At 37.1% G+C, this 13,837-nt stretch overlaps 1 long non-coding RNA gene across 1 annotated transcript in view; it reads right to left on the minus strand.

Moving 5' to 3' along the window:
• Nucleotides 1–9,174: 9,174 nt before the first annotated feature.
• The window catches only part of LOC107985483 (uncharacterized), a 33,489-nt gene continuing 28,826 nt past the window's right edge, over nt 9,175–13,837 (minus strand). Inside the window, exon 4 of the long non-coding RNA XR_001755094.2 lies at nt 9,175–9,299. This is a non-coding gene — a long non-coding RNA (uncharacterized LOC107985483). The remainder of the gene's footprint in view (nt 9,300–13,837) is intronic.

Genomic DNA, 13,837 nt, shown 5'->3' on the forward strand with positions numbered 1-13,837 from the left:
GCATTTAGACTGAATATTTATCAGCCACGTTGTTAGTTATGTCAGTAAGAGAGTGGGTATGAAGCCCATCTTGAATGAAATGATGAGAATGAGGCATCTGACGGATAAATGAAAATTCAAGTGTGATTATAGGCACAGGAACAAGCAGTGGTTTTGCCCCAATCTTAACAATAAGAAAAGTAGTAACAAAGACAAAGAGAGAGAGATAAGAAGTGAGCTTCTTCCCCAGAAGAGGAGCTCAACTGTTTTGCTGTTGATAATGAAATTAAATGAAAATTCAAGTGTGATTATAGGCACAGATTGTCATTTATTTCACAGATAAACAAAAATTCAAGTATGATTATAGGCCCAGGTAAAGGCTGGCCACACATTGCTAGGAGCTGAGATAGCCAGATCTGTGATCTGAAGTTTGCCAGTACAAACAGAGCTAAATATACACATATTTCTCTTGCCCGTATAACCCTCAAGCCTTCACCTACTTTGCTGAGAAACTTAATACTTTCAAACAAAGCTATAGACCTGAAGCATAACCCATGTCTACACAAATACTAAACTTTCTACAGAACTAGAATTCATCTAGTTACCAATGACCTGGAATAAATGAAAAGAACTGGGTCATGCAATGTCTTCTACACAGTCTATTTGCAACAAACTGACAGTACCGAAGACCACCAGGCTGGGAATGGATCAAGGAAATATTCACCGCTTATTCTAGGACTTCGAGGAAAGAAATTATTTTTCTGTTGTACTACAAATACATAGTCAGATAAATAAGAAATATAATGTTAAAAACAGCAAATAATCCTTTACTTCCCAAAAGCGTTGTAATCTATTCATGACTACTGGTACAGAGCAAGTCTCCACAGCCAAGGGAAGCGAAAATCATTTTCACCCAAACAAGCTGTCCCAATAGGAGGGTTTGCAGGGCCCTCAGTGAACGAATAAACGTAGTTGAAAAGACAGCAATTGGCCAATGGTGCCATGTGTAAGGAGTGATGAGAACACAAGATAACATCAAGAAAGACAAACATAGGAATCACAGTATCCTTCAGGCTCATCAAATAACCATCACTGTGGGTCTTAATGGTAATGTAAAATTAAGGTGGCCCAGAGAAAACTATGTAAAGGAAATGAGTAGGCATTTTACAGATTAGAAAATCTAAATGACCAACAAATTTGGGAAAATATATTTCATGAACCAAATTAGTAGTAAGGGAGATAACATCATCAAATTATAAAAACAAATGGTTTACGGCCAGTTGCCAGTTGGGTTGTGGGAAAAAGGACACCCTTAGACATTGCTGTAGACATGTGAACTGCTTCGGTTATCTTGGGAAACACTTTGGCACTATCAATTCACATCAAACATATTTGTTTTTAGACCTACGTGTATGAACTTCTCACTCAGTAATCCTACTTTGAGACACTTTGCTGTATGAACTTCTTACTCAATAATCCTACTTTGAGACAGTTTGCTATAAAAATGAAAGCACTGGCCAGGAGTAGTGGCTGATGCCTGTAATCCCAGCACTTTGGGAGGCCGAGGCGAGATCGCTTGAGCCAGGAGTTCGAGACCAGCCTGGCCAATATGGCAAAACCCCGTCTATACTAATAATACAAAAATTAGCTGGGTGTGGTGCTGCCAGCCTGTAATCCCAGCTACTTGGGAGGCTGCAGGGGGACATCACTTGAACCAGGGAGGTAGAGGTTGCAGTGAGTCGAGATTGTGCCACTGCACTGCAGCCTGAGCGACAACGTGAAATTGTGTCTCAAAATAAATAAATAAATACAATAAAATAAAAATGAAATGAAAGCACCAACATATAAAGGTATTGATTGCATCATTGTTTTTGGTAGCAAGTGAGCATGTTTATATACTTGCAAGTATATACATTTGCAAATGTTTAATTAAGAGAAAGATGTGGAAAAAAGGAAGAAGGAAAAGGGAGGGGAGGTAAATAATATCTAAAAATAAAATTTTTCATGAAATTTAAAAAAATCATGTGACTATGATCATATTTAAATAATACCATATAGATAGGTCTATATAAACACAGAAATGTTAGGAGATGGTTACCGAAATGTTCATGGGTTTCCAAGAGGTGCAACCTTAGGTAAATTTTTTTCTTTTTCTCACGTTTTTGTTTTTTGTTTTTTTTTTTACAATCAGCACATTATTTTTACATCAGAAGAACAGAGAAAGGTATGTTTTTGATTAGCTAAAAATTTTAACATAAAATTCTAATATTGTGTCTATAACATGTTTTACATGGATTAGTATGAATTGTGCAAATTACCAATGAAGGCAGTGGAAGAGGGCCTGGGGAGAGGAGTGTTTTAGCCAGAGTTTGCATTCTTTTTATTTCCTGCACTCTGGATCTATTCAAATCTCGTCTCCTGCCGAGGGATTCAGTGCAGAACTAAAATATGATGACTTACTTGGCAACAGCAAAAAAAAGAGCATTTACTCAAATGCAATAAAGATAAGCAATAAGTTTCAGTGATGCATATAGTATGTTCTCTGCTCGCCTGCTTGTTCTTTCTTCTCTCAGCAGAAGTTCAACTGAAAATAAGCTCAAACAGCAATTTGCCAAATTAGCTAGTCACCTCACTTGTGACCAAATCACATCCTACAGAGATGCTGAACCCCAAGTTTTTGCTCTCTGGAATATACATAATTTGAAGAGTCTTTTCACTTAGTAAATGAAGGGGTAACCTGGTAAGTTCAAGTTACTTTGAAATGAGATGTACAAATAATACTTGGGTATAATATCCACAGATAATTCCCAAGTTATTGCTCCCCAATCTACCACCCTTCCAAAAACAGCCATGCAAAAAATATACATTTTTCCCTTTCTCTGTCCTTTCCCAACCTCACAAGGAAGTAAACTGATAAATGCTTATTGAAATCCTAAAAAGCAAATTGCAGGAAAAAAATTTAAAAAGAGAACATAACTTAGATAAAGCAGTGGATAGATAATTAAGAATTTGATATATGATGCCATCAACTTTTACCCAACAGAGACTAAGGATATTTCTCTTTTGTTTACGTGCTTCTTCTCTCTTTCTGATTAATCCCCTGGCTGACAGTGTTTTGCCACTCTAAATAGCTCTGAACCAATCTCCATGCACAGAAGTCACTCTCTGTAGAAGTCTGGGGCATTCTGATTGGCCAGCATGAACCCATGTGTCAACCCTTTGGCAGAAGAGACTGTGCCTGTAAGCTGTGCCATCAGGGAGATGGGCAGCTCCCAAAAAGAAAAAAAAAGCGCTATGCAAATCAAAAGTATTAGCTGTTCCCTGTGTCGAAGTATACTTGAGAAGTAATTTTCTAGGTGTTACCACAAGTGTAATAACTTTCTTATTCTATCTTTTAGCATATTTGACAAGTACAAACAATATATAAATGCAAAAGAATTGATTCTTTTCATAGGGATTCAGAGTGAAGTTTTATCCCATGCCCTTATTTTGAAAAGTGATTTCTAGTGGTAATCCCTATTGTTATTCTTGTTGGCCACTGATAGCACAGCCATCTATCTTCAGAAGGGTTGACACTTGATTTTTATAATAAATGGTCTTTGTATTATGCTGTTAGGAAAATCAAAATATTGCCCTTTAGTACTCCTATTTATGGATTAAAATTCTCCTATAAGATTTCTGTCCATGTGAACACAAAAATGTCCTTTCTTTTTGAAAATCCATCCCAGCAATTAGAACAGTCATCCTTTCCAGATATCAAGCCACCCATCAGACGGCCTGTATTAGTTACTACTGCTGTGTAACAAATTATCATAATCGTAACAGCTTAAAACAATTCCTATCTATTATCTCACATTTATAAAGCTCAGTAGTCCAGGTAGACTCTGTTAGGTTCTCTGTTTGGTTGGTTTCCAAAGCTGAAATCAAGGTGTTGACTGGCTTGGCTGTTACGTGGAGCTTTTGGGCAAGAATCCACTTCCAAGCTCATGCAGGTTGCTGACAAAATCTAGTTCTTGTGGTTGTGGGACTCAGGTCTCCATTTCTCCAGTTCTCTTTTCAGCTGGGAGCTACTCTAGTTCCTTGAGACTGTTCCAGATTTTTTCTCATGTGCTTCCCTCCATCACAGAGCCAGCAATGCTGCAATGAGTTAGTTCTCGTGTTTTGAATCTCTCTGACCTTTTTAAGTGCCACTTCTTGGAGAAAGTGCTTTAGTTTTAAGGGCTCATGTGGTTAGATCAAGCCTACCCAGATCATCTCCCTTCCTTGTCAACTGTGCCATATAATATAGCATAATCATGGGAGTGAATACTCATTGCCTTTCTAGAGATGAAGACAGGGTATCTTTGGGGACCATTTTAGATATTCTGCTTATCACCTGCCTACTACTACTACTACTACTACTACTACTACAAGCCAGCATTGATTCAGTGCTTGTTAAGTGCTTGCTAGGTGCTTTGTATGGATTATCTTATTTAACATCTATAGTATTTTTAAAGTGGGTGCTGTTGTGAGTTCCATGTTTGGATAAGGAATCAGGCTTAGGGCAATTAAGTCCTTGTCCAAGATGACAAGCCAGCAGGAAGTGGTACCAGGATATGAACCCAGGCCTGGCTCTCAGGATTTTACTCTTAATTGCCTCCCTTGTTGGTCATTGTATCTTTGATCTCCCAAGAGTAACCTTTAAAATTATCAAATTATAAACTTACATAAAAATGTCAATTACATTTTGTTAATATGTAATGTTATTATTATTAGTTATATTATCTCATATGGACAAATATAATAGATTTAAATAGTTGTAAACCCCAAAATTTATTTTGTCATTTTCAATAATAAGTAAAATTTGCCATATTTTCAATGCAAAGGAGAAGGTGTTGTTATCTTTATGACATGCATTTTTGAACTGTGTTTCTATTAGAAATGATTATTTGCATCCATCCAAGGCCATGATTGGCAAAATATCTTTGTGTATGCATTATTAAAGGCACCACATTTGACCTATGGACAGATCATTCAGAGCAAGAGGGCCTCTCTGGGTGGATGAATTAGAAAAAGGCAACTTGCCTTCTGGGCTGACACTTGGATAGTAAAATGTGGATGGCTTTCACCACCTGCTACATACCTTTGGTAGGCTGCCTCATGCATGCAAAGACACTCTGAGCTGTGCATATTCTCCAAACTTCACCTTGCAAACAACAGCACTCATTTACAAAACTTAGATACATGATGCAGTGTCTTGCCGTGAGCCTAAAAGTTTTGGTCATTGCAGGATCCAATGTCCACTTACTTCCATTAGATCAAATACTAAGAAGACTGGCCCAAGATACCAACGAAAATGTTTCACAAATTAAACTGTAGCTAATGAAATGAATTTTATGGCTATCAGTTTAGGAAGACTTTTGTGCTGTATCTTTGATTAGACTTCACATTAATATTTTCCATTTTATTATATAAATATAGAAAAACAGAGATGGGAAAAAACAAAACTACTCCTTTGAGGACTTCTAAATTGCCCAGTTTACATTTTCATAACCAAGACTAAGAATTAAAACCCAAAAGACAGGAATAAAAGATTTACTGTTATACAAGTCCAGTATTATAAACACTGTCATTCAAAAGTTGGGCTGCTTTTTTTGCATTTAATGAGGAATTTATGAATTCTCATACACCATTCATCTTTCACTAAGCACTCTTTTGAGTACTAAAACATTTGTTTGAATGTGGCGTATTGACATATGAGGCAGTAATAACAAAACAAACACATAAACAAATCCTCGAACTTGAAAAAGTCATTGCCTCCAAAAACACATCTCTTTTCTTCAACACCCTCAGTTTGTGACTTTCATTTATGGTGTTTTTCTTTTAATCTCAAACTTCACTATTAACAGTTATACATATGGTGTATGAGTCCTCTGGGGCCTAGGTCAACATCCAGGCCAACAGATTGGTCCACCTGTCCCGTGGGCCACAACAAAAACTCAGTGCTTTCTCACAACATTCAGTGCTTACACCTACTTTTAAATAGATGCTTTAATTTGAGTTCAAGCTCTTTCCACGCTAACCTTTTAGTGACATGAAAATTTCTGATTTGATTTTTAAATTTTGTTTATTTTATAGTTACTCTTTAGAGGCATGTGATTCATTATTTCTTATTGATTACATTTTAAAATACCATAACAGGCTGGGCGCGGTGGCTCATGCCTGTAATCCCAGCGCTTTGGGAGGCCGAGGTGGGCGGATCACGAGGTCAGGAGATCGAGACCATCCTGGCTAACACGGTGAAACCCCGTCTCTACTAAAAATACAAAAAATTAACCAGGCGTGGTGGTGGGCACCTGTAGTCCCAGCTACTTGGGAGGCTGAGGCAGGAGAATGGTGTGAACCCGGGAGGTGGAGCTTGCAGTGAGCTGAGATGGCACCACTGCACTCCAGCCTGGGCGACAGAGCGAGACTCCGCCTCAAAAACAAAAACAAAAACAAAAACAAAAAAAACCCACAGATGACACTATCAGCCAAAGCTATTTCACTGCTTACTCATTAAACAGACCCAACACTGAAACAATGCCAAGGATTCATCCATTCAAATAGAAGGCACCCAACATATCATTTTAGGGTTAAAAAGCACACAATTGATTAATTAGAAATCTTAGTTAGGAGGAGTTTGTATCCTAGACTTGACAGGTAAAACAAGCTGTTATCAACAATTTATTTTTTAAGCCCCTCCAGTGAGGCCATTTCAGTCATATACTGTGATCAGTCCATAGTTAGATTAATCTTCCGCACCTTCATTTGTTGCGGTAGGTGTTCAATACATATTGTTGCTCAGAATAGTGATGCAAAAGTGCTGCCAACTAAGCACAATCAAAGAAAGGCTCAAGGATCCATGAGTCCAGAGAGTAAACAAAGTGGAATAACCCATTATATGAGCATCTCACTTGATGAAGAGGTCAAATTCGTTGATTGTTTTCCTTTAGACCAGGTGAAGTGAAAATTTTGCAGATTTCCAAGCAATAAACATCTTAGCCAAGAGCCACTGGACTCATTTAGATTATGTATCTACGCTGATTTAATTCATCAACTAAATGCCAGTTATCCACATTGTACTATATGTGGTTGTGAGCTCGATCTTCAGTGTATAAGGTGCATTCCTTATGTCATTCATCGGCCTTTAAGAGACAGAAGGTAGTGGAAACAGGGTATAATACAATTTTCCTTTCTCCTTTTCTTAGCATGGGTTTTCCTGTCTTTTTTTTTATCCTAGAAAACACTTCAGGAAACTTTCTCCAGATTATACATTACATTTTCTAAGGCTGTAAAGGGGAAAACTGGTGAAAACGAAATCAATTTGTTATAGCTTTTGGTTTTCATACTAAACTGGCAAAAAGAGAAATGAGAGACATCACTGTACAACCTAAATTGAAGATCACACTAATATTTGGATAACTCAAGAGTGATTACTGGTAGGCCAATGTTTCTAAATCCAGTGAGAAATTATGCAATTTCTTGCTTTCTTATTTTAAAGCTCTGTGAACTCAGGTTTATGAAATTATGCTAGGTCATCATTGCGCTTATGAATACGTTGTTTTTGTTTATTGTTGCATTTAGGATTCTTTTTAAAAGTCCACAAGTTGATTTATTATATGTCATAAAAAATTAAACTCTAAAAAGAAAATCGGCAAACTGATATGAATCTCTCAGGATAGAAAAAGTGTGATGTGGAATTGAGCTGTGACTTGAAAAAGTATCAGGTAGGAAGCACTGAAGCTAATTATTAAGCCAACAGGTAAGACCAGGTTCCAAAATGAATAGACAGTGTTTTTTAAATAGCAAAAAAAAAAAAAAGTATGTTGAATATAATTGTTTGGGCTTGAGTGGATAGTTATTTTTCTTTCATACAGAGAGAAAGTAGAACACCAAAATTAAAAAAGGAAAAGATATACTGACAGTAAGAGGGTTACGGATGCTACCAAAAGATTATTGAAAAGTTGACTTAGATGGTATGTAGTGAGGTAAATAACATAAAGGAATTTGTTGCAGAAAAAATATATAGCATTTGTGGTTTCTGGGTTTTGTCACCAAATCATTTTATTTTCAAGAAAGATTCCACTAAACGATTATTCTATTTCATTATGTAGCCTGCAAGTGACCAGGGATTAAAACAAAAGAAAAAAAAATACGTGTTGAAAAATATGTAGTAATGTCAGGTGCAAGTTTAGATTTGGTTTTGACAGTCAAGTCCAAAGCTAATCAGTTATCTCAATATTAGACCAAGCATGCAGATATAACCGGTATGGAAAAAAATTAACTACAGTCATGATTCCAAGCAGCTTACTTTGATGACACATAAGTGGGCAATATTAAAAAAAAAATCACTTCAAAGGAAATTTTCCTATATTAATTATCAATTGTAAAGGTGAGAAAATTTTAATTCTGTCTGGTGTTTAGAAAAATGTTAAGAAATTTAAAAAGCATGACAGCAATCGTTTTTGCACACGACTCTACCACTTTCTTTTTTCTTATTGTTAGTTTATTTATTTATTTACTTCTCTTATTGTTTGGGGATTGTCAAAATTACAGTGGTTACACCACCGCCGCTTCTGACAGATGGAACACAGCTTGTTTGTCTGACATAATGGTCACTGGGAAAGGATCACCCTAAAGATAGCAGAGAAACCTGGAGCTCAGGCTTGAGTCTGACTGCTAGACATCATAGCTGTGTGAATTCTGGGAAAGTCTGAAAAATCTTCTGTGCCTCAGTTTGCTCATCTCTAAAATGGGAATAGTAATTGTACATACACTTAGGGTTAATGAGATGATTAAATAAATTAAGATATAAAAAGCACTTAAAGAGCTTGGTACCTAGAAAGTGATATATGTGTTGTTACCTATTATTACGGTTATTAATATGACAAAAGAATTTGAGAAAGCCACTAAATTTCCACTTTAAAATGTGGATAATATAATATTAATAGCTTTGTATACGAGCTCCCTACAATGCAACGAAAGCAAAATTAATTATGGATGAATTCCAATGAAGCTAAGAACTCCAAACCAATGCAAATGTAGGTTCCCCCTAATTTAGAAATTCCTCTTTCACATGGACTTACCAGCGATCTCTCACTCATTTACTCACTCAACAAATATCTATTGACCACCTAATATATGCCAGGGGATATAATAGTGAATAAACATTACCTGAAAGAACGGGTCTTTTAATCAATCGGTAGGTAATATTTTTCCATGGAGCATGTGGTTCTTGAGGACAAATCTGTCCAGCTTTCGTTAATGTGGGTCTCATGAAACTGCGAGGGTGCAAGTGCCTGAAAACCGAAAACTAAAGTTATCAATGTGCAGGCAAAGGCTGCCCCAAGGGCAGTGGGAGGAGGTCAAAGGTGAACTTGCTTAAAATGTGCTCAGGCCTGTAATATATTAATAGATGGGAATACACTTTTCCTTTTTCACCCCCTCTTCTTCCTCTTCCCTCTTCATCCCGGAACCCAAACCACATTTATGTAAAATGATTCCCGTGATTCTGTTCGAGGTGGACTAAATAGGCATCCACAGACTGCGTGAGGGCCCTAACGATGACATAGAACATTATCTCTATTATAAGTGTTAATACTCTAAACAAACCTACTGGCAAATAAAATTTTAGAGCACAATCCATTTGTTGGAGTCTGTATTTTTATTATTGCTGTGATAATTTTCTGGCTCTGATAATGAGTGCCATGAATGCAGTAGAGCAGATGTTGAAATTTCGTTTTCTTTTTGTATCCGACGCTTACTTTTTCCTGGGTAGTTATTACATAGGTTAAAGCTAGTAACTTTGTTTTCCATAGTAAGTTCCAAAACAACTTAAAGGAGAGCAAAAGGGACAGATGGGTGGTTTATATTTGAAAATAGATTAATTTGCTTGAATAGTATGTGCCTTCAAATTGGAGTGATGAGGTTTGCATATAATCGAAAGCAGAGAATAAAACAGAGGAATATAGTCTATTCCTTTCTCCTTAATTTGCTACCACAGTGGGTCAGTACATGGCAATACTTTCAAATGTAATCTTTGTCACATTCAGAAGAAAAATGCCAAGGAACAATGAAACATAAAGGGATATTTTTTATTCCAGGAGGAAAAAGAATTTTCTGGAAAATCTTAATTGGCAAATTTTTATTTTTATTATTATTTTTTGTTGATAGAGACGGGGTTTCACCATCTTGCGCAGGCTGGTCTTGAACTCCTGGTCTAAAGTAATCCACCCACCTTGGCCCTCCAAAGTGCTGGGATTATAGGCCTGAGCCACGGCGCCTGGCCAGCAAATTTGTTTTGATTCAACAATGTTGTAACTCTAACTTTAGCCTTTACCAGGTTCTACTACTGTCTGAAATGACTATGCAAGTAGTTGGAAATAAAAATATTGTACAATTCTCATAAACAAAACAAATATATATCACAAAATGCTCAGTTGATGATGTTAAAATAATGATATCTGAGAAAGCAGTAGTATGTAATGGCCATTGTTATCTAATTACTCTAAACCACCAATAAAGTAAAATAAAATCTTCCTATTTAAGAACTTACTTTAAAAATATTTTGATGCCCTCCTTGACTTCGGCTTCCTATAGAATTTCCCCAGGTCTGTTTGGCATTTGGTTTCTGCTACTAGCCTTATCCTCACTATGTATCTTTGAACTAATTTCGTGAAAGAGACTGAGATCACATACTGGTCTTTTTGTGTGCCTGCTTCCAGAACATGCACATTAGCATTGCAAAACTTTGCATGTCCAGATGTCTCCTAGACTTCTCATTTGATTTGTGGCTGAAGGGTCGGAAAAATTGCAGAAATGAGCTGCCATGTTCCCACGTTTCCTGTTCTTCTGGTGTCTGATGGGGGAGTGTGGACAGTGAGATGGATTAGATAACCACCACCTCTATTCAAAAATATCTTCTCTGCCCTGTTTTAGGGAATTATGCTTTTCACTACTTTAATCAGTGTAGTCAGATTCTTCCTGCTATAGGTTTACTTGAACACGGAGGAATTGGAGATGGGAGAAAAGGAAGGAGGGAGAAGTGTGTGTGTGTGTGTGTGTGTGTGTGTGTGTGTGTGTGTGTGAAGGGAGAGAGAACATGAATGCATGGCACAGTGAAGGTATTTAACAGCCAGAGGAAAGTATTAAAGAATAAAATATTTTGAGTTGATAGATGTAGGTTCCACAAGAAGATAGGAGAGAAGTTGAAAAGAAAAAGGAAACCATTAGACTATCAATGATCACTTGTTTCTTTGATGCTTTATCTAGGCCTCCGTGGCAGTAACAGCCACTGAAAACCAGACTCCCAAGTAGCTTTACATGAAATGTCCTCATGATCAAACTTGTTCTAATGTGTGTTATTGGGGAAATACCCCAGAGAACAGAGAAGATGGATGTAGACTGCATTTTACCAGTGCCAAATAAAGCAGTCAAAATGTTCTTGACAAGATGGAAATAATCAAATAACCACCTTTGATTGATTTTAAATGAACTGACTGTCTTGCATGGTGCGCATTAATATTTATACTCTGTGGTTCCAGACATCTGTATAAATGTGATGAACTACTTATTAGCTATGTGCTGACTTTCTCCATGATCTCATCTTCATATTCCAACTAAAATTTCTCCACCTATGACTTACAGAAATGCTTGCTCATGTGCTCTGTCATTCTTGGTCTTTATTTCAACAAAAATTGACTGGGCACCTACTGTGTTTTAGAGAATTCACCAGGCGCTAATGACACAGTGGTGAACACAAAGGTGTGCCTTTTAAAATTTAGTCTGGGGAGGGCAGGTTAAATCTTATGTTACACCAGTGGAATTATGTAATAGCCATTGTGATGGACCAGAAGAAGAAATGTGAAGTACCTTGAGAACATACAGCAGTGGCAAACAAAGTTAATTTGGGGAGACAAGGAATACTTTTCTGGCAAGGGTCAAAGGGTGAGGCAAGGGACTGATGGTCCGAGCAGAGGGGAAAACATGGGTGAAGACCCTGATGCATTAAGATAAAAACAGTTAATTTTGAAATAAGTATCAACTTATAGGGAATGACAAAAATAGCACATAGAGTGCTGTAAACTCTTCACCAGTTTCTCCAAATGGTGGCATCTTCTATGACTATGGTATAATATCAAAACCAGAAAGTTGACATTGATACAATACTAGTAACTAGACCACAGTCTTACACAGTTTTGATCAGCTTTTACATGCAATGTGCTTGTGTGTGTGTGTGTGTGTGTGTGTGTGTGTGTGCATGTGCGTGTGTTTTTATAGTTCTATACAGTTTGACCTCTTGTAGAGGTTCATATAACCACCACTACAATCAGGGTACAGAACTGTTTCATCACTACAAAAGATCTCCCTTGTGCTTTTTTTTTTTTTGGAGAAGCACCAACCCCTCATTCTTGTCCCTATCCCCCAGTAACCACGAATCTGTTCTCTATCATAGAGATGGATTCTTGTCATTTGGAGAATGTTATATCAATGGAATCACACAGTATGCCACCTTTTGAGACTGGCTTTTTTCACTAAGCATAATGTCCTTGAGACCCATCCAAGTTGTTGTGTATTATCAATAGTTTGTTCCTTTTTTATTGCTGAGTGGTATTCCATTGCATGGGTGCCTTCGTGTTTAACTCATTTCTGGACACTTGGGCTACTTTTGGTTTAGGGCTATTACAGTTAAAGCTGACATTAACACTTTTGTACCCTAATGCATTTTAAGGAATGGGAAAAAAGACACACAAAATGAGGCTTGCTGGGGGCCAAATTATGCAAAGCCACAAATCCTTTCTGGGTGTACACTATAAAAGTACAAAAATGAATGAATAAATAAGAGGAAACTGAATGTAAACACGGAGTGTTTTAAGGACTCTGACTTTTGGTGTTATATCAGTATCCAGATGGCTGCCTTTTATTTTCCATTTTTTAATCTAACTGTTTGCACATAATGAGGTGGTCAGATTTGAATACTAGTTTGCAGATGGATTGGGGGTACTCTATACTTGAGACAGCTAATTAAAACATAATTCTAAAAACAGGCTTGTAAAAACTTTCTTCCCTCTGTTCACTCAGAAAAGACTTATATTTAGCATAAGAATGTTATTGGAAGCACCAAATTGAAAACTGTCAGCTCAGATTCTGCAATCTAAGGAAGATTCTGCCTACTGGTGTGTTGATGAAGAACGTAGAAAAACAAATCAAGAAAAACAGCATGAGTGTACTGGGTTTTCTTTAAATCAGCAGACATATAGCATAACGGGCTGTGAGAATTCTGATCCAAGTCACAGGTCTGCCACCCAATGCAAGGTGTGAGTTCCACGTTACGTGAAGTGAAAGGGGGAAACCACCAAGGCGATTTTAGAATAAAATCAGCCCTATCCGATTTAACCCAGCTTATCAATACAGTTTTTCCTACAGGATATTATACTCATTTGAACCTCTGGGCCTCTGCCTATGTTTTCCTGTTCCTAGTTTGCTGTCTCAGTTCCTTTTTGCCAATCAGAATCCTATAAATCCTTCAAGGTATAATCTAGAGCTTATTCTTCTTTGAAACTTGCCCTCACGCTGATACATTTCTTGACTGATTTCCTGTCATAGAGCTAGGGTAGTACAGCTAAGGGTACCCTAGGTAGTACAGTACCCTTAATACTTATTGGCTGTGCAATTATTGCATTCCTTAATCATAGATGTCCAAGCAAATTTCTTCCACTTAAATGTAAAAGTAAAATAACAAAATATAAAGCTTGAAAAGTGGGGGGTGGTGGTGGGGTGGAAAAACACATAATATCATTACCCATATATTTTCTTCCAAAAACTCTTCAATGTAATA

Source organism: Homo sapiens, chromosome 21 (assembly GCF_000001405.40).
Source record: "Homo sapiens chromosome 21, GRCh38.p14 Primary Assembly".
In the NCBI taxonomy this organism is placed as follows: domain Eukaryota; kingdom Metazoa; phylum Chordata; class Mammalia; order Primates; family Hominidae; genus Homo; species Homo sapiens.